A 24,693-nucleotide genomic window follows, 5' to 3' on the forward strand; every position below is an offset into this window, starting at 1 on the left:
TTATTTACCTATTACAAATGACAATTTCAAGGCTATAGGAGATAGGATATGTTTATTATATAATGTAATTAAAAAAAAAATACAAATTGTAGGCCAGGCACTGGGGCTCACGCCCGTAATCCCAGCCCTTTGGGAGGCTGAAGCAGGTGGATCACCTGAGGTCGGGAGTTCGAGACCAGCCTGACCAACATGGAGAAACCCCGTCCCTGCTAAAAATACAAAATTAGCCATGCGTGGTGGCACATGCCTGTAATCCCAGCTACTCGGTAGGCTGAGGCAGGAAAATCGCTTGAACCCAGAAGGCGTAGGTTGCGGTGAGCTGAGATCGCACCATTGCACTCCACCCTGAGCAATAAGAGCGAAATGTCATCTCAAAAAAAAAATTGTAGAATATGAATGTAAATTTGGGTTTTCTTTTTTTTTTAATCTTACATGAACCACATATACCAAAATGTTAAACAATTAAAAACAGATAAGGCTAAACACGGTGGCTAATGTTTGTAATCCTAGCGCTTTTGGGAGGCCAACGCGGGAGAATCATTCGAGGCTGGGAGTTCAAGACCAGCCTAGGAACATAGTGAGACCCCATCTCTACCAATAATTTTAAAATTAGCTGGGTGTGATGGGTGGTGTGCATCTATAGTCCTAGCTACTCAGGAAACTGAGGTGGGAGGATCACTTGAACCCAAGAGTTCGAGATTACAGTGAGCTATGAACATGAGACTGAACTCCAGCTGGACAACAGTGAGACCCTATATCTATAAAAATAAATAAAAATTAAAAGTGAAAAACAAATACTAAGATCTCAGTAAAGATCTTACTCTTCAGTAAAGAGAAGGCTATGGTAAACTTACAACTAGTTTTTCAAATACTATGATTTTTTTTTTTTTTTTTTTTTTTGCCCAAGCTGGAGTGCAGTGGCGCGATATCAGCTCACTGCAACCTCCACCTTCTGGGTTCAAGCGATTCTCCTGCCTCAGCCTCCCAAGTAGCTGGGATTACAGGTGCCTGCCACCATGCCCAACTAATTTTTTGTACTTTTTGTAGAGACATTTTAGTAGAGACAAAGTTTCACCATGTTGGCCAGGCTGGTCTCGAACTCCTGACCTCAAGTGATCCACCCGCCTCAGCTTCCCAAAGTGCTAGGATTACAGGCATGAGCCACAGCACCCGGCAGCCCTTGTCTATTTTTCAGTCTATTATAAACAATAATAAATAACAAGTCTCTTTTACTAAAAGCATTTAACTGAAATTACCATTTCATCTCAAATCCAGTCATGCTACATCCAGTGCTAAAAACTACAGAGGAAAAGTACACTACAACAAACACACCCTATTGCAGGGGCAGACAGAGCCTGGCATCTAAGCTGATGCCATACCCCATAAGGGCCTGCATGGGAATAACTTTTATCTGTGATTGGTAGTTTCACATCTCAACCAAAAGGCTAACAGAATAAAAGAGTAAAGAAATTCAAAGTAGCAGCTAACGGGCAGAAAAGCATTCGTCCATTTTCCTATGCTATCAAGCCAATTTGAAGTTTTTTAAAAAATTACCAATATACTTCAATTACTACAAATAAAGTATACTATCGCTGCAAAAAAAATAGCACTTTTGAATATAATATCAAAAGAATCATCCAAGAAAGCAAACATAAAATAATAATAAATGTGGGCCAGTTGCAGTGGCTCACCCCTGTAATCCCAGCACTGCTGGAGGCCAAGGCAGGATGACAGCTTGAGCTCAGGAGTTTGAGACCAGTCTGAGCAACATAGTGAGATTCTGTCTCTACAACAACAATAATCATCATCATCATCATCATTATCATCATCATCAATATGCAATGAGAATTTTTTTAAAGCAAACTCCAAAATCTAACAGGGAAAAAAATTACCAGGAAAAAATAAAATAGAGATATTGTAACATGGAATTTGTTACACTAAAACCAATAGCATACCCAGAAAACATCCTTCACTCACAACACCACCTAACCAAAGCAAGGTCTCACTTCCCCCAAATATTTCAAACCACAAATTTACAAATTCTTTTCATCAACCTGAATTATTTAATTTGAGTGGTCATAGACTTTTTTATTTTAATCTGATAAAACCTATGGTTGTTCTCCCTGGAAAAACACAAATGTACAAAATATGGCACATAATTCTGAAGGTTTCACACATCCAAAGCCAACTGTAGACTTTCAGACAGTTCATGTGTTCCATAGCTTAAATGTTTAATGATAACATACACAAACCCTCATTCTTAAAAAAAGATAATGAAGTGGGAAAGACCCTTCCAATTATGTAATCCACTCATTCCCAAACTATTTTTTTAAAGGAATAAAAGAATGGCTACTCCATAGGCCGAGCAGCAGCCTCATTCCCAAACTATTCTAACCATCACCCACCTAAGTAAGACAAGAGATCCAGCCTACCTACCTCCTCCCATTTTCTAGTGCAAAAATAACTCCCTAAGGAAGAATTGTAGCAATGTAACAAGTACACAAGAGCAAAACGGTCCACAAAAATTTAAATGTAACATTAATTCTACAATTGTATTAATCCAAAAATAACAGCAACTGGAACCACAGCCAATTTGAGACAACACCACTGATGTAGTGAAAATATCTTCTGAGTGTGGGCATGCATAGTACTAATTTTCTAGTGCTGCCAAAGCATGGTATAGCTGACAGATTTCTTAGAAGAAAACTAAACTAGAGCCCTCGGTAAGTTCTAGAAACCAGCTAATTTTAGTTGTGAATACTAAATTTCAGTAATCCTTAGTAACTCAGATTATTGGTAGGTAGCCTATTCTAATACATAAATATCAGAGGTTATGGGAATGGAATAACAATAGCCCCTGAGAACTGAGGAGACGGCTTGTATTTCTGGTTCATGATCCATTAGGAAAAGCTTCTGATCTAGTGAGTGTCTTGGACCATACTGAGGAAGCATTAATCTAAGCCAATAATTTTCAACAATTTTTCCACTGTGATTCTGAGTAATGGCTCACCAATAGTATAAAATTAACCTCCTAAACTGGAACCCACATACATTGCTGGTGGGAATATAAAATAGATCAACTGCTTTGGAAAACAATTCAGAATTTCCTCAAAATGTTAAACATAGGTTACCATGTTAAGTCAGCAATTCCACCCCTCAGTATGAACCCAAGATAAATAAAAACATGTCCCAAAACCTGTACACAAATGCTCACAGCAGCATTATTCACAATAGCCAAAAAGTAGAAGCAACCGAGTGGAAGCAAATGTCCATCAACTACAGATGGATGAATGAATAAACAATAAACAAAATGTGGTATATCCATATAATCCATAAAATATTATTTGGCCATAAAAAGGAATGAAGTACTGATCTATGCTATAACATTGATGAATCTTGAAAACACTATGGTAAGTAAAAGAAGTGAGTCACAAAAGACCATATATTGTATAATTCCATTTATATGAAATGTCTAGGATAGGCAATTTCATAGACACAGAAAGTAGACTAGTGGCTACCTAGAGCTAGCGGTGTTGAGGGAGATGGAAAGTGACTGCCATTGGGTATAGGAGGTTCTTTTAAGAACGACGAAAATGTTCTAAAATTAGATAGTGATACTGGTTGCACAAGTCTGTGAATATACTAAAAAACACTGAACTGTAAACTTTAAAAGGGTGAATTTTACAATATGTATCTCAATAAAGCTGTTTTTAAAAAATCTATTCACGTGACATACAAGGTGTTTTAGGCTCTATCTTCCGCCTACCCTACCAGGTATTTCAACCTCCCCACCTCCACCTCCACTTGATCTTATTCCCATGCCTCCTCTCTTTGCACCTGTGGAACTACCTGCCTTCTGAGTGACACTTCTACTAATAATAGCTTCCTTTGCCACAGTCCCATTTTGTCTTGTATTATCTCATTAAACTACATACCAGCTAGTATTGTTACTTTTGTTTTCACGCCTGCCCCGCTTCTATTAGACTGTGAGCTCCTGAATGGCTCTTTAACTTCATATACCTAGTGCCCAGCAGTCACTCACATGGTAGGCACTAAAATATTCTTTAATAAGCACAGGTTAGCATTCTTTCAACTGCACAGAAGACAAACCCAGCAACTTGAGTTTGAATCCCAGTGCAAGTACTTCCTAGCTTTGTGGACTTGCACATGACATAGCTTCAATTTCCTAACCAAATAATGTGGATACAGTAGACCCCCTTATCTGCAGTTTCACTTTCTGAAGTTTCAGTTACCTGTGGTCAACCATGGTCTCAAAATACAAAATGGATAATTCCAGAAATAAACAATTCATAAATTTTTAATTGTGCACCATCCTGAGTAGCATGGTAAAATCCTGCATTGCCCGCATCTGTCCCAACCAGGATGAAAACCATCCCTTTGTCCAGGGTGTATCCACTGTGTCTATGCTGCCTGCCCATTAGTCACTTAGTAGCTGTCTCAGTTATCAGACCGACTGTCACAGTATCACAGTGCTTGTGTTCAAGTAACCCTTATTTTACTTAATAATGACCCCAAAGTGCAAGAGTAGTGAGGCTGGCAATTCGGATATGCCAAGGAGAAGCCACTTCCTTCAAGTGAAAAGGTGAAAGTTCTCAACTTAATATAGAAGGGAAAAAATTGTATGCTGAGGTTGCTAAGATCTACAGTAAGAACAAGTCTTATATCTGTGAAATTGTTAACAGTATATTGTTATAATTGTTCAATTTTATTATTATTAATCTCTTACTGTGCCTAATTTATAAATTAAACTTTATCATAGGTATGTATATATAGGAAAAAACATAGTGTATATAGGTTTCTGTACCATCCATGGTTTCAAGCAACCACTAGGGGTTTTGGAATGTATTCCTTGCAGACAAGCAAAGTACTACTGTAATCGTACCTAAATGCCAGGTTATTTTAAGGCTTAGATGTCATGTCTGGAAAACATCTGGCACATAGAAGGTGTCCATAAATTATGATTATTACAACAATTATTTCAACATTATTTTAATTATAATCACTAATCAACTTTTAGTTGTAATCACAATCACTAATCACTAATCTAATTTGTTTTACTGAAACAAATTAGAGTTGTGCCAATTATTAATAAAAGGACATGTTTTTCTCACTTTAATCAATATTTGAGAAAAAAGTTATCATTTCTATCTAGAGGCTTAGGGTCCCAAATATACAAAGCATTAAGACCTAAAAGCCTCAAAGAGGATAACTTCTCTATACAAACTTAGTTCTTAATTCTAGTTCTGCAATTTAGCAACCTCAGTTTAGATTTTTAAACACAAATTATAAGCTCAGATTTTTATAAATATTGAGTTTAGCCTTCAAAAAAATCAACCAATAAGCCAGGAGACATAAAAGGACAGGAATAGCAAACTAATACTGAAGTGGTTAGTACTCAAATTCTATTGAAGATTTAAATCAAACCAATTTTTGAAGAATAGTCAACAACTCTGAACAAGACAATTCACCCACACAAAGGGGGATAAAAATACCTAAGAATAGCTTGTGACTCAGCCTGCATTCCTATAAGGGGTCCCAGGGGGACTGATAATATTTAGCCTATTGTCATCTGTCTCATATCAGAACTAAATATTACAGCAAAACTATTTACTTGACATGAATAAAAAGTACAGAGGGAAAGAAATTCAGACAGATGCTTCACTTTCAAGTAAAACATCACCTCTTTGAAACAAAGACAACTTTTAAGTTTTGAAGCCATACAAGAAAACAAAAGAAAGAATAAGCAGATTCTATATCATCTATATAACAAATATTTAAAACTTCCTTGAAAACAAACTTAAAAGGTAAATGGGGAAAAATCACAACACATGATAAGCAGTTGATATTTTTAATGTACATAGGGCTATTAAAATAGATAACGAAAACACTAAGACCTCAAATAAATAATCTACGAAAGAAGAAACAGAAGAAATAAAAGTAGTTAATAAATGTTAACATCACTAATAATTAAGAAAACGAGGCTACCCACAGTGGCTCATGCCTGTAATCCCAGCACTTTGGGAGGCTGAGTGGGGGCGAATCGTCTGAACTCAGGAGTTTGAGGCCAGCCTGGGAAACATGGTGTAAACCTGCCTCAATAAAAACTACAAAAAAATTAGTTGGTCCCAGCGGGAGGCTGAGGTGGGAGGATGGCTTGAGCCCAGGAGAAGGAGGTTGCAGTGAGCTGAGATGGCAGTGAGCTGAGATCCCGCCACTGCACTCCAGCCTGGGCAACAGAGCCAGACCCTGTCTCAAAGACAAAACAAAACAAAACACTGGCCAATACCCAGGGCTAGCAAAGGTGAATTAAATAGGGTGCTTGCAGGTACAGCCCATGGGAATACGTATTGGTATCACTCTTCAGAAGGCACTGTGAAAACATATATCAAGAGTCCCACCAACATTCATATCCTATAAAGCAATAATTTCATTTCTGGGAATCTGTCATAAGGAAATAACAGTAAATGTGGGAAATGCTTTAATTACAAAGATATGGCAGCATTAGTAATCATTGAAAAAAACTAAAAATGAATGTCCAAAAATAAAGGAATATACTAAGCCAAGTATCATGCTTCCACTTAAAATCAAATTCATATGATATGTGAATTAAATCTCAATAAAGCTATTTTGTGATCAAGTTCAGTTAGACCACATAATAACATGGAAACTGCTTATGTTCTTACAATTTAAAACTTACATTTTGATATAAATGTGCATATTTATTATGAAAATTAAAACAGCAGCCATCAATCATCAATATTTACTAAGTGCCAAGCCCTACACTACAAGTTGTTACATGTTATCATGGTTACCTCATTATCACTGATACCATCACCAGGCCCATCCTGGAAGGGTCTCAGGCCCAAGGCCATCACCAACTGTGGGGCTGGCCCAAGATAAACCACACTTTAAAGAAGGCTTCACTAAACATTTTCATAGGCCCCTTGAGAATGTTAAAAACAAATTTGGAAATTGAGCCCAGTGGGATTGTGGGTCTGTACTACCCTACTTTTCAGCCTTCTTATATAGATTATTCCGATGGTAAGATTAAAAATTAAGGGCAAAAGGCTAATTTCCTTTCCAGTCACGGTGTAAAACAAAGACCAAAATAAGAACTATGTTAGGTTAGTTTGAAATTTCTCACTGAACCAAGTTAAAACAACAGGTAACATTAGGCACTTACACTAAGCAGAAGTCACTGTGCTAAGCACTTTATATTACATATAACAACACTAGGAACTAGCTAATATTTCCCCATTTCACACATAAGGAAACAGAAGCTGAAGAGAATTAAAGTAACTTGCCCAAGATTATACAGTTATTTGGTGTCAGAGCTGGAAGCAGGTCTAACTTCAGAGGCTGTACTCTTATCCTCTATGGTTATGATGAAAATAAATGAAATTTTTATTAAAATCACATATACTTTATCTAAAATGAATACGCATTCGTGAAGAAAATGATCTTAAAAATATGAAACAGTTAAATAAAACAAATGTTTACCGTCTGGTAATAGTCCCCTAATCCACTAAATGTCTGCCATAATCCACTGCTGAATAGCTCCACAAGTAAATAAATCATTTAATGTCCTGATGTATCTATGAAATTATATTTTAAGTGAACCTTTTGAAACAATACTATACATTCTGCAAATGAAATATGCTGCCCTCTTGGAGCTGTGAAAATACATATTTCTTGATCTATTAACTGTCCTAATTCTGTTCAGTTTCCTCCCTTCCTCTCCCACTTCCTCTTTGCTCTCATATCCTTTAAGACCAGTTCAGTTCCTCCTCCTCAAGAATACCTATATTCACACTTTACCCAAGAGAACTCTAACATTAGTTTCTGCGCTCCACAGCTGTAGGATGTTACAAAATCCAAAAAATGAACTCAAGTAAAAAATACAGTATTTCTGATGTACCTTCAACTTTAGATCTATCCACTTACAGAATTAATTATAAACATTCTTATTTTTCTACTTCACACTTGGAATCCTGTCTTTAAAATCAGCACACAGTAACCAAAACAGCATGGCACTGGTACCAAAACAGACATATAAGCCAATGGAGCAGAACAGAGACCTCAGAAATAACACCACACATCTACAACCATCTGATCTTCAACAAACAAGACAAAAACAAGCAATGGGGAAAGGATCTCCTATTCTGTAAATGGTGCTGGGAAAATTGGCTAGCCATATGCAGAAAACTGAAACTGGACCACTTCCTTACACCTTATACAAAAATTAACTTGAGATGAATTAAAGACTTAAATATAAAATCCAAAACCATAAAACCCTAGAAGAAAACCTAGGCAATACCATTCAGGACATAGGCATGGGCAAAGACTTCATGACAAAAATGCCAAAAGCAATTGCAACAAAAGCCAAAATTGACAAATAGGATCTAATTAAACTAAAGAGCTTCTGCACAGCAAAAGAAACTATCATCAGGCTGGGTGCAGTGGCTCATGCCTATAATCCCAGCACTATAGGAGGCCGAGGTGGGAGGATCACCTGAGGTCAGGAATTCCAGACCAGCCTGGCCTGCATGGTGAAACCCTGTCTCTATTTTTAAAAAATTACAAAAAGGCCAGGCATAGTGGCTCACATCTGTAATCCCAGCACTTTGGGAGGCCGAGGCGGGTGGATCACCTGAGGTCAGGAATTTGAGACCAGCCTGGACATGGTGAAACCCCATCTCTACTAAAAATACAAAAATTAGCTGGGCATGGTGGCAGGCGCCTGTAATCCCAGCTACTCAGGAGGCTGAGGCAGGAGAATCACACTTGAACCCCGGAGGCTGAGGTTGCAGTGAGCCAAGATCGCACCATTGCACTCCAGCCTGGGGGACAAGAGCGAGACTCCATCTCAAAAAAAAAAAAAATAGCTGGACGTGGTGGCACATGCCTATAATCCCAGCTACTTGGGAGGTGAACCTGGTAGGCAGAGATTGTGGTGAGCCAAGATGGCACCACGGCACTCCAGCCTGGGAGACAGAGCAAGACCCTGTCTCAAAAAAAAAAAAAAAAAGAAAGAAAAAAAGAAACTATCATCAGAGTGAACAGGCAACCCACAGAACGGGAGAAAATTTTTGCAATCTATCCATCTGACAAAGGTCTAATATCCAGAATTTACAAGGAACTTAAACATATCTACAAGAAAAAAAAAACCCCACCAAAAAGTGGGCAAAGGATATGAATAGACACTTCTCAAAAGAAGACATTTTTGAGGCCAACAAACATGAAAAAAGGCTCAACATCACTGATCATCAGAGAACTGCAAATCAAAACCACAATGATGGCCGGGTGCAGTGGCTCAAGCCTGTAATCCCAGCACTTTGGGAGGCCAAGGCGGGTGGCTCATCTGAGGTTGGGAGTTCTAGACCAGCCTGGCCAACATGTCTCTACTAAAAAGACAAAAATTGGCAGGGCGTGGTGGCAGGCGTCTGTAATCCCAGCTACTCAGGAGGCTGAGGCAGAAGAATCACTTGAACCCAGGAGGCGGAGGTTGCAGTGAGTTGGGATCGCGCCATTGCACTCCAGACTGGGCAACAAGAGTGAGACTCCGTCTCAAAAAAAAAAAAACACAATGAGATACCATTTCATGCCAGTCAGAATGGTGATTATTAAAAAGTCAGGAAAACAATAGATGCTGGCAAGTCTGTGGCGAAATGGAACGCTTTTACACTGTTGCTGGGAATGTAAATTGGTTCAACCATAGTGGAAGATAGTATGGCAATTCCTCAAGGATCTAGAACCAGAAATATCATTTGACCCAGCAATCTCATTAATGGGTATATACCCAAAGGAATAGAAATCATTCTACTCTAAAGACACATGCACACGTATGTTTACTACAGCACTATTTACAATAGCAAAGACACCAAACCAACCCAAATGCCCGTCAATGATAGACTGGATAAAGAAAATGTGATATACATACACCATGGAATACTATGCAGCCATAAAAAGGAATGAGATCATGTCCTTTGCAGGGACATGGACGAAACTGGAAGCCATCATCCTCAGCAAACTAACACAGGAACAGAAAATCAAACACCCTATGTTCTCACTCATAAGTGGGAGTTGAACATTGAGAACACATGGACACAGAGGGGAACAACACACACCAGGACCTGTTGTGGGGGGGCAATGAGGGAAGGGGACTTAGAGGACGGGTGAATAGGTGCAGCAAACCACCACGGTGCACGTATACCTATGTAACAAACCTGTACGTTCTGCACATATATCCTGTTTTTTTTGTAAGAAATAAAAAAAAATCGGCACACAAGAAAGTCTGCCTTTCTTCAAAAACAGTTTTTTCACAAATTTTTTCCATAAATAAAAAAGGTACTAAAAAAACTTGAATCCAAAAAAAGAAAAAGAAAATGCACCGTTAGATGGTAATAAATATATCACATTTTTGGTAATGTAACTCGTTTATTCTGAATCATTTCTGGAACTTGTTAATATAAATGTTTTACAAGTAAATACAATATGTAAAAATGCTACTTAATGGACTAATATGTACTTTCACTCATTCACTAAACACATATTTTTTACTGAATGCCCATATAACTTTTTTTTTCTTTTTTTTGTTTGAGACGGAGTCTCACTCTGTCGCCTAGGCTGGAGTGCAGTGGTGCGATCTCGGTTCACTGCAACCTCCGCCTCCCGGGTTCAACGATTCTCCTGCCTCAGCCTCCTGAGTACCTGGGACTACAGGCGCACGCCACCATGCCAGGCTAATTTTTTGTATTTTTTAGTAGAGACAGGATTTCACCTTATTGGTCAGTCTCAAACTCCTGACCTGGTGATCCGCCCTCCTCGGCCTCCCAAAGTGCTGGGATTACAGGCATGAGCCAGGGCACCCGGCACATAGATAACTCTTTTTTAAATGTATGAACCAAGATGACTCTACCAGATAAGGCACAGGTGCTGCAGTTAAAAGGATCTTGGTTTGAAACCTGGCTATTGTACTTACTAGCTCAGAGACCTAAAGTAGTCAAACTTCAGGTTAACATTTCACTTACCTTTTTGATGGGAAGATAATAATTACTCCTAGGGCCTTAGTGAGCTTTAAATGATTATGTAAAACACTTAGCATAGAGTCTAACATGCAGTTACGTGCTCGATAAATGACAACCATGGTAAACATATTTTATACTGAAGAAAGTATAGTTGAAGGAGACAGCCAATATGTGACCCTTTTGTCTTACTAAAGATGGAAATTTGTGAAACTCTACATTAAAACTAAAAATCCTAAGGTTACATGATTTTCTACTTTTTAAAAAAGATATACTAACTACATAAGGTTAAAGGATTTTTTAAAATAAGAAAGAAAAAAAGAAAAGCTTCTTGAAAGCTGCTGAGTTTGGGTGATGGGTACATGCTATTTTTGTGAAAATACAAATTTTTTAACACTATTAATCCAATCCCCAAAACATGCCTAACACACCTCCTCATATTCAGGAGAGATCAAGATTTTAGCCTTGAGATGTACCGAACAATGGTAACTCCCTGCTTAGTAATTCTGTACAGGTCAAGTTTTCTTGGACGAGTTTACCTTTCATTACAAAGGTGGGCACAGGGAATAGTTATCAATGCATGGAAGGGTGAAAAAATGCAAGCTTTTCAACTGCTTATTAATATTACATCAAAATAGCAGCAATGCACATTTTTTCCACGTTTTCAAAAACATAAAATACATCCACTTTATTTACTTTTGAAATTACAAGAGAGTCACAGGCACAGCCAAAAAAAGCTAAAGGAAAACACATCAGAGTTGTCAGTATCTTTAAATTTGGAAGGACGTCATTATTAATTCGCGTAAATGTTTTATGCGATGTTTCTAGGTAGCTTTTAGGTTTTATCACTGATTAACAATATAGCAAACCAGCACAGGGAGAGAGGCAATTTTTCGAAACGCTTAAGAAGCTTTAAACTACAAGAGCTATGCTACCTAAACTGAGCTCACTAACAACGTAAAATTTCAAGTCACACCTTGCCTATTTCTGAGTAAGCAAGCAAACACTAGTGAGACAAACTAGAAGCATGGAGCAAAGCAAGTCATTTCTATGCTAACCTTAATTCCTATCGTAAAGGGGTTGGCTCCATCAAAAAATATTCCTATTTCAGTATTAACACAAGTTTCAAATAAAGCACACTTGCCATTGGTAATTCTAGAGCGACAAGGCGCATAATTAATAAATCCAAACGGAGCATCTTTCTATAGAATACAAAGCCATCTGCAGTTTCAGCCTCGGTTTACCCACTCACTATGCATATGCAGACGTCTTTAAAAATAAATAAATAAATACACAAATAAACTTTATCTGGCCTGAGAGATTACATCTCTCGGTGCTTCCTGTATATTCTGGAAGTCAATAACGCTGAAGGTAAATTTAACATTTCCAACTCCGGAGGAACGCGAGCGGTAGACGCCAAGCATCCGCCCACTGTCCTCTCGTGACTCGGGCTACTTTGACGCACCGGGATGCGGCTCACCTGACATTCGGCACCAACCCTTGCCAGGAAGGAAAACCAACTCCGCGAAAATAAAATGGGTCCCCGAGGAGGCGTGCGGGTGCCCCCAGAGCTCTCTTCTGCTCACACCCCGAAAGCGAGGGGGCCACGCCACCCCCGACCCTCGCCGGCGTCCGCCACCTGCCAGACGAGGCCGCGGCCAGGGACCCGGGCTCGGCCGCAAGGAAGGGGCAGCCCAGCCCAGGCCCCCTCGGCGTCTGTCCCGGCCCGGCAGCAGAGGAAGGAACCCGGGGCCGGAGGTTTCCGCCCCGCACGGCCGAGCCCGCCAGGGGCCTAGCTCGGGGGCCGCCCGTACTCCCGAGGACCCGTCCCCATCGTGCGGAGCGCACAGCCGCCTCAGCCCGACCCGCAGAGCCTCCGGGCAGCGGGCGCGGCGCCCGCACCTGCCCCGCGCCTTGCTGCAGCCCCGCTAGCGGCTTCACCCACCTGGCGCCCTCGCCGCGCCTCCCGCTCGTCACAGCGCGACTCCGCGTCCCTCAGCACCGGCAGCCTGGGCGCGGGCAGGCGCGGGGAGACCCTGCTCTGCCGCCGTCGCCGCCACTGCAGCTGGCTTGGTCGTCAGGCCGCCGCCCGCGAACCTGTTGCGTAGCCTGTCACAGCCGCTCAGGGCTCCGCCGGCGCCGCCTCAGCCCCACAACAACATGGCGGCCGCGGCCTCCGCAGGAAGCCGGGGGGCGGGGAGGTAGGCGCCGGGCCGGGCAGCTGACGGCCCGCCCGCTGCCGGGCACCGACTCCCCACCCTCCGGAGCCCGAAACTGCCCGGGCGTGGCTCCTCGCCCCAGGAGTTCCGGGGCATTGAACCCTGAAGGTCTGCTCCGAGTCGGTCGGGTCCGAAGCGCTCCTCTCTGCCCTCGGGGAGGCCCCGAAGCCCCAGACCTGGCAGCCCTTCCTGGAGTTGCACAGACCCACCTGGCTCCTCCTCCCCGAGGTAACATGCTGAGCTTGGGTGGTGCTTTTCCTGCCACGGCAGACGCCGGGGTTTTGGAAAGTCCCAAGCAGTGCCTGCCACATCCCTGTTGCACCCACCACGGGGTTCTCCCTGGAACCTTCTCACTCGCCGAAGTTTTCTCCACTGATCTGGGGGAACGAATTCTCTGGGAATTGGGGGGTGGAAGGTGGGAAGGAGGTTGATCCCACCCTTGCCCATGGGTCTGTTACAGGCCTCTTGAACCCTTCTCAGGGACCTGGAGGACTTAACCATACCCTCGGTCATCCATTCACCATTCCTCGCCCTCCTCCATAACACACGCGGAGCGCCCACGAGGAGCACCCTCTACGCTAGTCACACTCCGCCGAGCAGTAGGAAGACTCTGTCCCCATAGAGCATAGCACGACGAAGCTAAACTTTCCTCCCCACCCCTCGCCAAGGGACAGGCGAAGCTCCTACTCAGAATTTGTCTCTTTTCTCCCCTCCCGGTTCCTGGTCTCCTCACAAAAGACCAGACTTCAACTCAAGCCGCCACCGTATCCCAAAACCCCAAAGGTTTGCCCTTGACAAGAAGCTTCTTCAAGGGGAAAGGCTTTCTTTTGATTGGGGTGAGGGAGGAGTTAGTGTTTCCTAATGAACGTAACCAAATGTCGGCCTGGCACAGTGGCTCACGCTTGTAACCCCGGCACTTTGGGAGGCCGAGGCAGGTGGATCATCTGAGGTCAGGAGTTGGAGACCAGCCTGGCCAACATGGTGAAACCCCGCCTCTTCTAACAATACAAAAATTAGCTGGGCGTGGTGGCGGGCGCCTGTAGTCCCAGCTACTCGGAAGGCTGAGGCAGGAGAATCGCTTGAACCTGGGAGGCGGAGGTTGCAGTGAGCAGAGATTGCACCACTGTACTCCAGCCTGGGCGACAAGAGCGAAACTCTGTCTCAAAAAAAAAAAAGTAACCAAATGTAAGACTCAAGATTTTTGGATATAAGACCCAAGATTTCTTTTTTTTTTTTTTTTTTTTTTTTTTTTTTTCCTGAGACAGACTCTCACTCCGTTGCCCAGGCTGGAGTGCAGTGGCGCAACTGTGAGATCTGTGCTCACTGCAACCTCCGCCTCCCAGGTTCAAGCAATTCTCCTGCCTCAGCCTTCCAAGTACCTGGGATTACAGGCACTTGCCACCACGCCCGGCTAATTTTTGTATTTTTAGTAGACACTGGTTTCACCATGTTGGCCAGGCTGGTCTCAAACTCCTGACCTCAGGTGATCCACCCGCCTCATCCTCCCAAAGTGCTGGGATTGGCGTGAGCCACCACGCCCGGCCAAGACCCAAGATTTATTTTGGCTTTTAGAAGCAGGGTGAGGGCTGGTCTGGGGTCCAAAACTCATATCCCTTGATTTGATCTGTGTAGATCAAATAACCCCTGGCATCCTTTCATTCCTTACCTGTTGAGGCAGGTGAAGGTGAGATGGCTCCAAACCCAGGCCTATCTGAACTGGCCAGCCAGCTTAGGAGGAATTTACCAAACATCGATGATGATAAACAGGCTTTTCCCGCTCTCACACTCAGTGTTTTTCCTAACTCTTCGATTAGAACCTGACCAAGACCTGACAGACAGGTCCTGAGCTTCAGTGACACAGAGAAGCCTGACTCTTTTATCAGTCTAGGAGGCCCCTCACTTGCTGGGGACCAGCCAATCTGTCCTTATCTGCAAACAAACCACCCAGGCCAAGGATAGCAATCTTGAGCACGTGGCCTCATTCCCATTGCACCCTTCACCAGTTAACTGATATGCTCTTTTGGAGCCCATATTTGAGAGTCAAAGCCCCAGAATCCTTCACAACATAGTGCTCCAGAGAGTTGGTCTGAGAGGTAAAACCTATTTTTTATTCCTGTTAGGCACATAGCTAGTCTTCATTTTTCTCCCATCCTTTGACCAATGTCATTTGTGTTTTCGGGTTCTAGACCTGGTGCAATTTACCCTGAGTCTCCTTTCCTTCTAAAGGAGGTGCCAAATCCTTGGCAGGACAAAAATGGAATTTGTAGAAAGAGATGCTTATAAAGGAATAAAAAAAAATTTAAAGCCCCCCTAAAATAAACCAAAAAACTAACAACCTCTGCTGGAAATCAGGGTCCTGAATGCATGCCTACAGTATCCCAAGTACTAAAACAACTGTATCCCAGAGTTCCCTTCAGAACTTTGAGGCCAGTTTGTCCATCCTGTCCTACTCTATCACAGCCCAAAATGCAAGCACCTCCAGTTATCTATCTTCTCTCTCACACATACCTCCCACCCTGTGTGATTCAGGGATAAATTTGGGCAATATTAAGCATTTGGTGGTTGGATATAAGGAATGAGAAGGAGTAAAGGGTTCTTGGGTTTTTGGGTAATGGTAGTTCTATTCAACAAGATAAAGAATGGAATACAGGAGGGAAGCACAGACCTTGGAAGTGGCTGAAGAAACATTTTCCTTGCTCCTCGACTGCATCCAGATCCTAGTTTTCCACTCACATGCAAAAGCCCCTTCTCCTATGAGGCTTATAACACTAGCTACACCCATCCTCTATCCTCATCCTTATCATTTACCATCTTCCAGGGCACTCAATATATTCCTCAAGAATTTCTGCACATGGAGCAGCCAGTACTCTCCGCCCAGGACCTTCATCATCCTTAGTGTCTTTCAGTGTTCATGATTCATTTAGATGATGCAGCCGCCATCCCAGTTCCTTGACTTCCTCTTCTCATAGGGCAGCCTTGGAAGTGTGTCTATACATTTCCTCCTTAGTATTCTCCAAATCCCAGCATCTTTTCTTTACTTCTGGCACCAGCTGGAAATCAAATACCTGGAGGAGCTAAGTCCTACCATGTTACATTTCTCTTCCTCTAGTTCTGCCACAGTCTAGGCAAGATTCTTAGACTTGTTCCTGGTGACCTAGCTTTTACCCTGGGAGCGTTTAGTCTCTATCTGTTTTCTTTTCCATGTATTATTGATCCTTCTCCTCAACCATATGTATCTTATGTTCTATCAATCTCCCCTTAAGTTAGTTTTCAAAGATTCCATCCTGTACCCCATTTCTACCATGTTTACCCCCAAAACAAACCTGCAGTGTAAGAAGAGTATAGAATAGGTAGAAGCAACAGTTCTAGAGTCCAGGCATCCCATAAGATAAATACCATTATCATATAGAGTAGAAAGACTGAGAACCTGGAGCTCATATTTCATGTTATAGTTTTACCTTCAAAACAATGCTGTAACTTTGGGGGTTTTTTATTTGTTTTTGTTTTGTTTTTTTTAGGATGGAGTTTCACTCTTGTTGCCTAGGCTGGAGTGCAATGGCGCGATCTCAGCTCTCTGCAACCTCCGCCTCCCAGGTTCAAGCGATTCTCCTGCCTCATCCTCCTGAGTAGCTGGGATTACAGGCTCCCACCACCAAGCCCAGCTAATTTTTTGTATTTTTAGTAGAGACAAGGTCTCACTATATTGGCCAGGCTGGTCTTGAACTCCTGACCTCAGGTGATCCACCCACCTCAGCCTCCCAAAGTGCTAGGATTACAGGCATGAGCCAAGTTTTAAATAAATAATTTATAAAGAAATTAATAGGTTACAGGCAACAAAAATAGTCTTGATTTATCCAGATATTTATTATTTTGGGCACTCTTCATTCTTTCCTGAGGATCCGAGTTTCCTATGATAATATTTCCCACCTGCCAAACAAACTAACCCTGAAAATGGATGGCACTGGAGGAGCAGAGGAAGGGAGAGGAAAGGGATTGAGCAGATGGCATCATTTCCCATTTTTCAACCCCCAACCCCAAGTTCCCATCCCTGCAGATGCTCTGCCCTGAGACTTGAAGCCTGGGGCACAGGCCTGGGTGGAGCCAATGCAGGCACAGATCTTGACATTCGTAGCAAATATTCAGATGGGAATTTTGAAGGCAGAAGTGGAGAAGAGTTCCACGTGAACAGCAGTAGGTATGAGTTATATATTTTTTAAATTAATAATTTTTAAAAGACCCTACCATGTTCTGGCCACTAGAAACAAGGACTTCGCAAGGAATGAGCACTGGTGAGGAGCAGTGGAGACTCAATTCACAAGAATGGTCAATGGGACAAATTTGGTCCTTGGATCTTTTCTTAGCTTCTTGACCTTACAGATCTCCTTCTGGAGTCCGGGGCAGAAGAAAAGCAGAGAAGTGGAAATAGGAGTGACTTCAGGGGAAAGAGGAGAGAAGGGAAATTCCCAGCCCTGGCATGGAAGGAAGGAGTGTTCTCATTATTGGGCCACTAATGTTGTGCATAACTTGAGACTCTGGCTTGAGGCCTGATGGTACCGGAAAGGCAGTACCAGGCAAACTGAAGGGGGAAGTTAGCCGAGACTTGGGCCTAGGCCAGCACTGCAGGGTGGAGTCAAAGGCCAGACTGGGCGAGGCCCTAAAGTCCCTGGACAGGACGTGTTCATTCATTACCAAAGCACCAGGGGCTTCCAGTCTGGCAGGTGTAGCTCAGCGAAAGGGAATCCAATCTGTGTTCAAGAGTCAGAAATGTTTCCTGTCTGGCAGATATGCCCAGCTGTCTGCTTATTTCATCGTTGCTGTCTGCAGCACAAACCTGGAGTGATACCAGTTCCCTTCTTATAATAACGTAACTAATATTAATGTAGCATTTTGCACTTGGCAGAGTACTTTTGTTATTTCATTTAATCCTTGTAACAATCCTGGGAATTAGGGTAAAGTGCTGTTTGGGATTGTCTCACTTTGGTTGGTATGAAGAAAGAGAGGTAAAATCAGGCTTTTGCCTTGTGTTTGGAGAATTTTCCTATGCCTAGTTGTGATTTTCTTTTCCTCATTTAAATAGAGAAACATAGGCCATGCTCTTCTGGGTTTAGATAGCAACAGTTTTTTAATTTAAAATATACAATGGATCAGATCATTTTGTACTGCTTGGCCCAGTCTGGCCAGGCTTTTTTTTTTTTTTTTTTTCCTAGTATTGACATTTTCTTCTCCCAGATAATGTCTTGAGCCAATGAAATGTCCCACTGTGGCCTCCCAAAGTGCAGGGGTTACAGACGTGAGCCACCATGCCCAGCCCTTAAGCCAATGAAATTTAAGAAAGATAACTGCTTAACTGCCCCTACCCCGGCCCTAGGGAAGTGGAAATGGAATAGCTGCCCTTGGTCTAATGCCAGGGGACGGAACAATCTACAAGGGTAAACCACAGGCAAATGCGAGGCCACATTTTGATTGTTTAAATGACATGCTTGACACTTGCCCTGTCTTAACTTCTCTCATGAAAACAAGATGGACATCTAAAACCTAGAGCTATGAAATCACTGCCCAAAGCGGGGCCCTGCATCCTCAAGCTGGTTGACATTCTTATCTGCCCTAGGGAGGAATGGCCAGATCAGGAGAGTTTTCTGCCTTGGGTCTCAGATAGAGATTAGGATTTGGGTGCTCGGTGCCATTTGCCTTTTCTGTTTTTGCTTTTTGTGTTGCGTGTATAGAGTGGATATGTTTTCTTCCTTTTCTTGTGCCTATAGTTTAAGGATGTTTAATTTAGTAGAACCATGAAGGAGAGCAAGAAAGAACAAAAAGTACACTGCTTGCGAATTAACCTCAGAAGCCATTCCTCAACAGGATAGTTTTGGCTTTTAATTATTTGTTTATTTTTATTTTTATTTTATTTATTTATTTATTTATTTATTTATTTATTTATTGAGACAGAGTCTCGCTCTGTTGCCCAGGCTGGAGTGCAGTGGCTCAATCTCAGCTCACTGCAACCTCCACCTCCTGGATTCAAGCAATTCTTCCTGCCTCAGCCTTCCAAGTAGCTGGGACTACAGGCGCCTGCCACCATGCCCGGCTAATTTTTATATTTTTTAGTAGAGACGGGGTTTTGCCACGTTGGCCAGGCTGGTCTTGAACTCCTGACCTCAGGTGACCCACCTGCCTCAGCCTCCCAAAATGCTGGGACTACAGGCGTGAGCCACCGCACCCAGCCTTATTTATTTATTTATTTATTTTTATTTTTATTTTTATTTTTTTTTGAGACGGAGTCTCACTCTGTCACCCAGGCTGGAGTGCAATGGTGCGATCTCGGCTCACTGCAACATCTGCCTCCCAGGTTCAAGTGATTCTCCTGCCTCAGCCTCCCTAAGTAGCTGGGACTACAGGCTCCGCCACAATGCCCGGCTAATTTTTGTATTTTTAGTAGAGATGTTTCACCATGTTGGCCAGGATCGTCTCGATCTCTTGACGTCGTGATCCACCCGCCTTGGCCTCCCAAAGTGCTGGGATTACAGGCATGAGCCACCGCGCCCGGCCTCCCTGGGGTCTCTTTTAAAGGGCACCCATCCTATTTGTGATTAGGTGATCTAATCACCTCTCAAAGGCCTCACCTCCTAATACTATCACCTAGAGGGTTAGGATTTCAACATGTGAATTTTGGGGGGACACAACATTGACACCATAGAAGATGGAGAATGTGAACAGTTCACAGAGGAAAATAACTAATTTTATCAATAAAAAAGCCCAGCACTTTGGGAGGCCCAGGTGGGCGAATCACAAGGTCAGAAGTTCAAGACCAGCCTGACTAATATTGTGAAACACCATCTTTACTAAAAATACAAAAATTAGCCAAGCGTGGCAGCGGGTGCTTGTAGTCCTAACTGCTTGGGAGGCTGAAGCAGGAGAATCGCTGGAACCTGGGAGGCAGAGGTTGCAGTGAGCCAAGATCATGCTACTGATTCCAGCCCAGGCAACAGAGTGAGACTCTGTCTCAAAAAAAAAAAAAAAAAAAGTAATTTTGGCCAGGCGCAGTGGTTCATGCCTGTAACCTCAGCACTTTGGGAGGCCAAGGCAGGCAGATCATGAGGTCAGGAGATTGAGACCATCCTGGCTAATACGGTGAAAACCCATCTCTACTAAAAATACAGAAAATTAGCAGAGCGTGGTGGCACACACCTGTAGTCCCAGCTACTCGGGAGGCTGAGGCAGGAGAATCGCTTGAACCTGGGTGGTGGAGGTTGCAATGAGCCAAGATTTCGCCAAGGCAGGCCAATCACGAGGTCAGGAGTTTGAGACCGGCCAATAAGGTGAAACCCTGTCTCTACTAAAAAATACAAAAAATTAACCGGGCGTGATGGTACATGCCTGTAGTCCCAGCTACTCAGGAGGCTGAGGCAAGAGAGTCGTTGAACTCCGGAGGCAGAGGTTGCAGTGAGCCGAGATTGCACCACTGCACTCCAGCCTGATGACAGAGCGAGACTCCATCTCAAAAAAAAAAAAAAAAAAGGAGACCCCAAGGAGCTACCTGCCCCTTCCACCAAGTGAAGACACAGCTAGAAGGCATCATCTGTGAAACAGAAAGTAGGCCAGCACCAGACACTGAATTTACTCGTGCCATGGTCTTGGATTTCCCAGGCTCCAGAACTGTGAGAAATAAGTTTCTATTGTTTATAAGCTATGCAGTTTATGGCGTTCTATTATATCAGCCTGCACAGATTAAGACACTATTTATGTTTTATGGTATTCTTATTTTATCAATTCATATAATTTTTTTATATAAAATATTCAAAAGATGGTTGTTTTTAAATCATTTAGTTATTGTCTCATCACACAAATTGTTTTATTCTCTGCTTACCAGAAAACATGGGTTGAGTCTTATTTATCTTTTGTTATTCATTTGCTCATCAAAAATATTTATTGTGTGCCTTTCATATGCCTAAGACTATGCTAAGCAAAGAGGATATTAGAGTAAACAAGATAGTAACATGGTGCCTGGCTCCATTAAATGTTCACTAAATGTCACTGGATGCTGAAAAAAATAAATATTATGACATAAGATAATGCCATCTACATTTCAGCAAGATTAATTCTCTGGAGTCCTTCAGGAGATTTTTAAGATTCTCCTACCAGATGAGAATAGTCAGGTGGTTCTTTTCCAAGTTCTGTCTAGTTTCTTCTTTTTCTAAGATATAAGCAATAATAGCATTTTTTGGTGGAAGTTATCTATTACTACTTTGTATGACCTGTTTAAACAAAAGCTGGTGGTGGTATCCTGGGAGAGGCCCAGTTTATTTTCCTTGTGTAATAGAATAGTTCTAGGCAATAGAACTCTTCAAACATAATAAAAATCTCTATTTTTATGATTTTCAGTTCAATGTTTTCTAAGGCTTTTGATACATTCAAAATAAAGTTATTCTGGGCAAAGACAGTGATCAAAGCCTTGCAAAGAACAGCTCCTTCAGTGAAATCTACTGAACAAAGCTTCCTTAAGCCAAAGGCTCACTGTGGTGAGATTTTTTTTTCATGTGTTTCAAAAAGGAATAAGCCTCACTTCCCATTTCAATAATTTCAGCAGGTGCTTTTCTTATGCCTTTGTATAGGGAAACATAAAACTCTTAATTTCGTATGTAAGTGACCAGGTATTTGTATCAGTTAAAATGTTTGGTTGCAAATAACGGGGATCAACTCAAAGGGCTTAGGCAAAAAAAGAATTAATTATATACAAGGTAAGTGGAGTGTGCCAGTGTCACCAAGGACAGGAGTGGGGCCAGGCAAAATGGAATTAGGGACTGAACACTGTCCAGGGACCCTCTCTGTCTCACCTCTGCACTTGTGCTTCATCTTCTCAATAGAGAGAGGGTGGGATGTATAGTGGAGCACAGATAATTTTTTTTTTTTTTTTGAGACACCATCTCATTCTGTCACCCAGCCTCAAGTACAGTCGTGAGATCATGGCTCACAGCAGTCTCAACCTCCCACACTCAAGTGATCCTCCCCCAACTTAGCCTCCCAAGTAGCTGGGACTGCAGGTGAGTGCCACCATGCCTGGCTAATTTTTTTTTTCTACATGTTGCCCAGGCTGGTCTAAAACTCCTGTACTCTAGCAACCCTCCTGCCAGCCCCCCAAAGTGCTGGGATTACAGGCATGAGCCATCACGCCTGGCAGATCACTCTTTTTTTTTTGAGATGGAGTCTCGCTCTGTCGCCCGGGCTGGAGTGCAGTGGTGCGATCTCGGCTCACTGCAACCTCCACCTCCCGGGTTCAAGCAATTCTTCTGCCTCAGCCTCCCGAGTAACTGGGACTACAGGTACATGCCACCACACCCAGCTAAGATGGATTGATATATTTTACTTCCTTTAGATGCTTAGGAAGAATCTAGGTGATAGCAAAGGGCTTTCTTTTACTATTGGATTTTGTCATTTGGAACAACAGGAGAGCGTAACTGAAATTGTATTACAACTCTAGCATTGTCTTCTTAAGTTCAATGTTCTTTCCTGGAACAGCAGCAATGTCATTGTTAGAAGATTAAAAATATAAAATTCTACCTTCAAATCAAAAAATTCTGGTTAGAATTATAGTAACTTCTTAGGGATTTACAGAAAGAACTGGCCGGGTGCACTAGCTCGTGCCTGTAATCCCAGCACTTTGGGAGACCGAGGCGGGTGGATTACCTGAGGTTGGGAGTTCAAGATCAGCCTGGCCAATATGGTGAAACTCCATTTCTACGAAAAATACAAAAATTAGCCAGGCGTGGTGGTGGCTGCCTGTAATCCCAGCTACTTGGGAGGCTGAGGCAGGAGAATCACTTGAACCTGGGAGGCGGAGGTTGCAGTGAGCCGAGATCGCGGCACTGCACTCCAGCCTGGGCAACAGAGGGAGACTCTGTCTCAAAAAAAAAAAAAAGAAAAAGAAAGGACCTTGAACTTTGTGCCTTTCAAGTTAGCCTTGCTTTTAATTTGATGTAGTGTGTAGTCTAAATGGATTCAGTTTTGTCATTTATAGGGTAAGCCTTGGGGCAGGGACCAGGTTTTGACATGTACTTATCAGCTTATACTACACTCTCAATATTTAGAAAATAATAATTAATGGTTGGGTATTGAGTGTTTGGCACAAAATCCTGACTCTAAGTATAATTAACTTTAAGAGCTATTTTGGTGTCTGATGAACGCTTTTCATAGCTTCTTAAATGAGTCAGGAATGTATCCCATGGCTGAGACATGTTGAAATTTAGAATACACAAATATAAATTGCCTAATGAACATGAACATCATGTGATTCTAATTTAAAAACTGTAAAAGGCTGGGCACAGTGGCTCACACCTGTAATCCTAGCACTTTGGGAGGCCAAGGCAGGTGGATCACTTGAGCACAGGAATTCAAGACCAGCCTGGACAACATGGTGAAATCCCATCGCTACAAAAAAAAAAAAAAATTAGCTGGACGTGATGGCATGTGCCTGTAGTCCCAGCCACCTGGAAGGATGAGGTAGGAGGATGGTTTGAGCTCAGGAGGCGGAGGTTGCAGTGAGCAGTGATCACACCACTGCAACTCCAGCCTGACGGACAGAGCCAGACCCTGTCTCAAAAACAAACAAGTTGTAAAAATACTGGAATTGGTATCATCAAGATTGGATTCAGTGTTTAGAAGCCCTAAACGCTGAAACACCCATGTATGAAATTAAATAAAAAGAAAAACATGAAATAACTTAGCCAGGTGTAGTGATGTGTGTCTGTAGTCCCAGCTACTTGGGAGGCTGAGGCAGGAGGATGGCTTGAGCCCAGAAATTCAAGGTTGCAATGGGTCAGGATCATGTCACTGAACTCCAGCCTGGGCAACAGAGCAAGACGTTGTCTCAAAACCCAAAAACAAAAACAAAAAAATTGCTTGATAACTATTTCAACACTTTTTTTTTTTTTTTTTTGAGATAGAGTCTCACTCTGTCACCAGGCTGGAATGCAGTGGCGCAGTCTTGGCTCACTGCAACCTCTCCCTCCCAGGTTCGAGTGATTCTCCTGCCTCAGCCTCCTGAGTAGCTAGGACTACAGGCATGTGCCACCACGCCCAGCTAATTTTTGTATTTTTAGTAGAGACAGGGTTTCACCATGTTGGCCAGGATGGCCTCGATCTCTTGACCTTGTGATCCGCCCGCCTCGGGCTCCCAAAGTGCTGGGATTACAGATGTGAGCCACTGCGCCCAGTTCAACACATTGTTTTTTGTTTTTGTTTTTTTTTGAGACAGAGTCTTGCTCTGTCGCCCAGGCTGAAGTGCAGTGGCACATGTCAGCTCACTGCAAGCTCCACCTCTCGGGTTCAAGCCATTCTCCTGCCTCAGCCTCCCAAGTAGCTGGGACTACAGGCACCTGCCACCACACCCAGCTAATTTTTTGTAATTTTAGTAGAGACGGGGTTTCACCGTGTTAGCC

The 24,693-nt window shown here is 42.7% G+C and overlaps 1 protein-coding gene across 23 annotated transcripts in view, besides 4 other annotated features; it reads right to left on the reverse strand.

Annotated features, from left to right (window-relative positions):
- The window catches only part of ITSN2 (intersectin 2), a 158,505-nt gene extending 144,450 nt beyond the window's left edge, over positions 1-14,055 (reverse strand). For 15 of the 23 annotated variants that reach the window (NM_001348182.2, NM_019595.4, XM_024452933.2 and 12 more), the window contains exon 1: positions 12,991-13,223. The gene's annotated coding sequence lies outside the window, so the exon portion shown is untranslated. Of the gene's footprint in view, positions 1-12,525; positions 13,224-13,473 lie in introns of those variants that run through there. The other 8 variants (XM_024452934.2, XM_024452931.2, XM_047444584.1 and 5 more) reach the window with 4 other exon arrangements.
- Positions 12,637-13,036: a silencer, noted in NCBI's record as "silent region_11229". NCBI's record gives its function as "represses an Ori minimal core promoter by ATAC-STARR-seq in GM12878 lymphoblastoid cells {active_cell/tissue: GM12878}" and the evidence as "EXISTENCE:reporter gene assay evidence [ECO:0000049][PMID:35858748]".
- Positions 13,047-13,096: a silencer, noted in NCBI's record as "silent region_11230". NCBI's record gives its function as "represses an Ori minimal core promoter by ATAC-STARR-seq in GM12878 lymphoblastoid cells {active_cell/tissue: GM12878}" and the evidence as "EXISTENCE:reporter gene assay evidence [ECO:0000049][PMID:35858748]".
- Positions 13,107-13,406: a silencer, noted in NCBI's record as "silent region_11231". NCBI's record gives its function as "represses an Ori minimal core promoter by ATAC-STARR-seq in GM12878 lymphoblastoid cells {active_cell/tissue: GM12878}" and the evidence as "EXISTENCE:reporter gene assay evidence [ECO:0000049][PMID:35858748]".
- Positions 13,507-13,656: an enhancer, noted in NCBI's record as "active region_15432". NCBI's record gives its function as "activates an Ori minimal core promoter by ATAC-STARR-seq in GM12878 lymphoblastoid cells {active_cell/tissue: GM12878}" and the evidence as "EXISTENCE:reporter gene assay evidence [ECO:0000049][PMID:35858748]".

This window comes from Homo sapiens, chromosome 2 (assembly GCF_000001405.40).
Source record: "Homo sapiens chromosome 2, GRCh38.p14 Primary Assembly".
Lineage (NCBI taxonomy): Eukaryota > Metazoa > Chordata > Mammalia > Primates > Hominidae > Homo > Homo sapiens.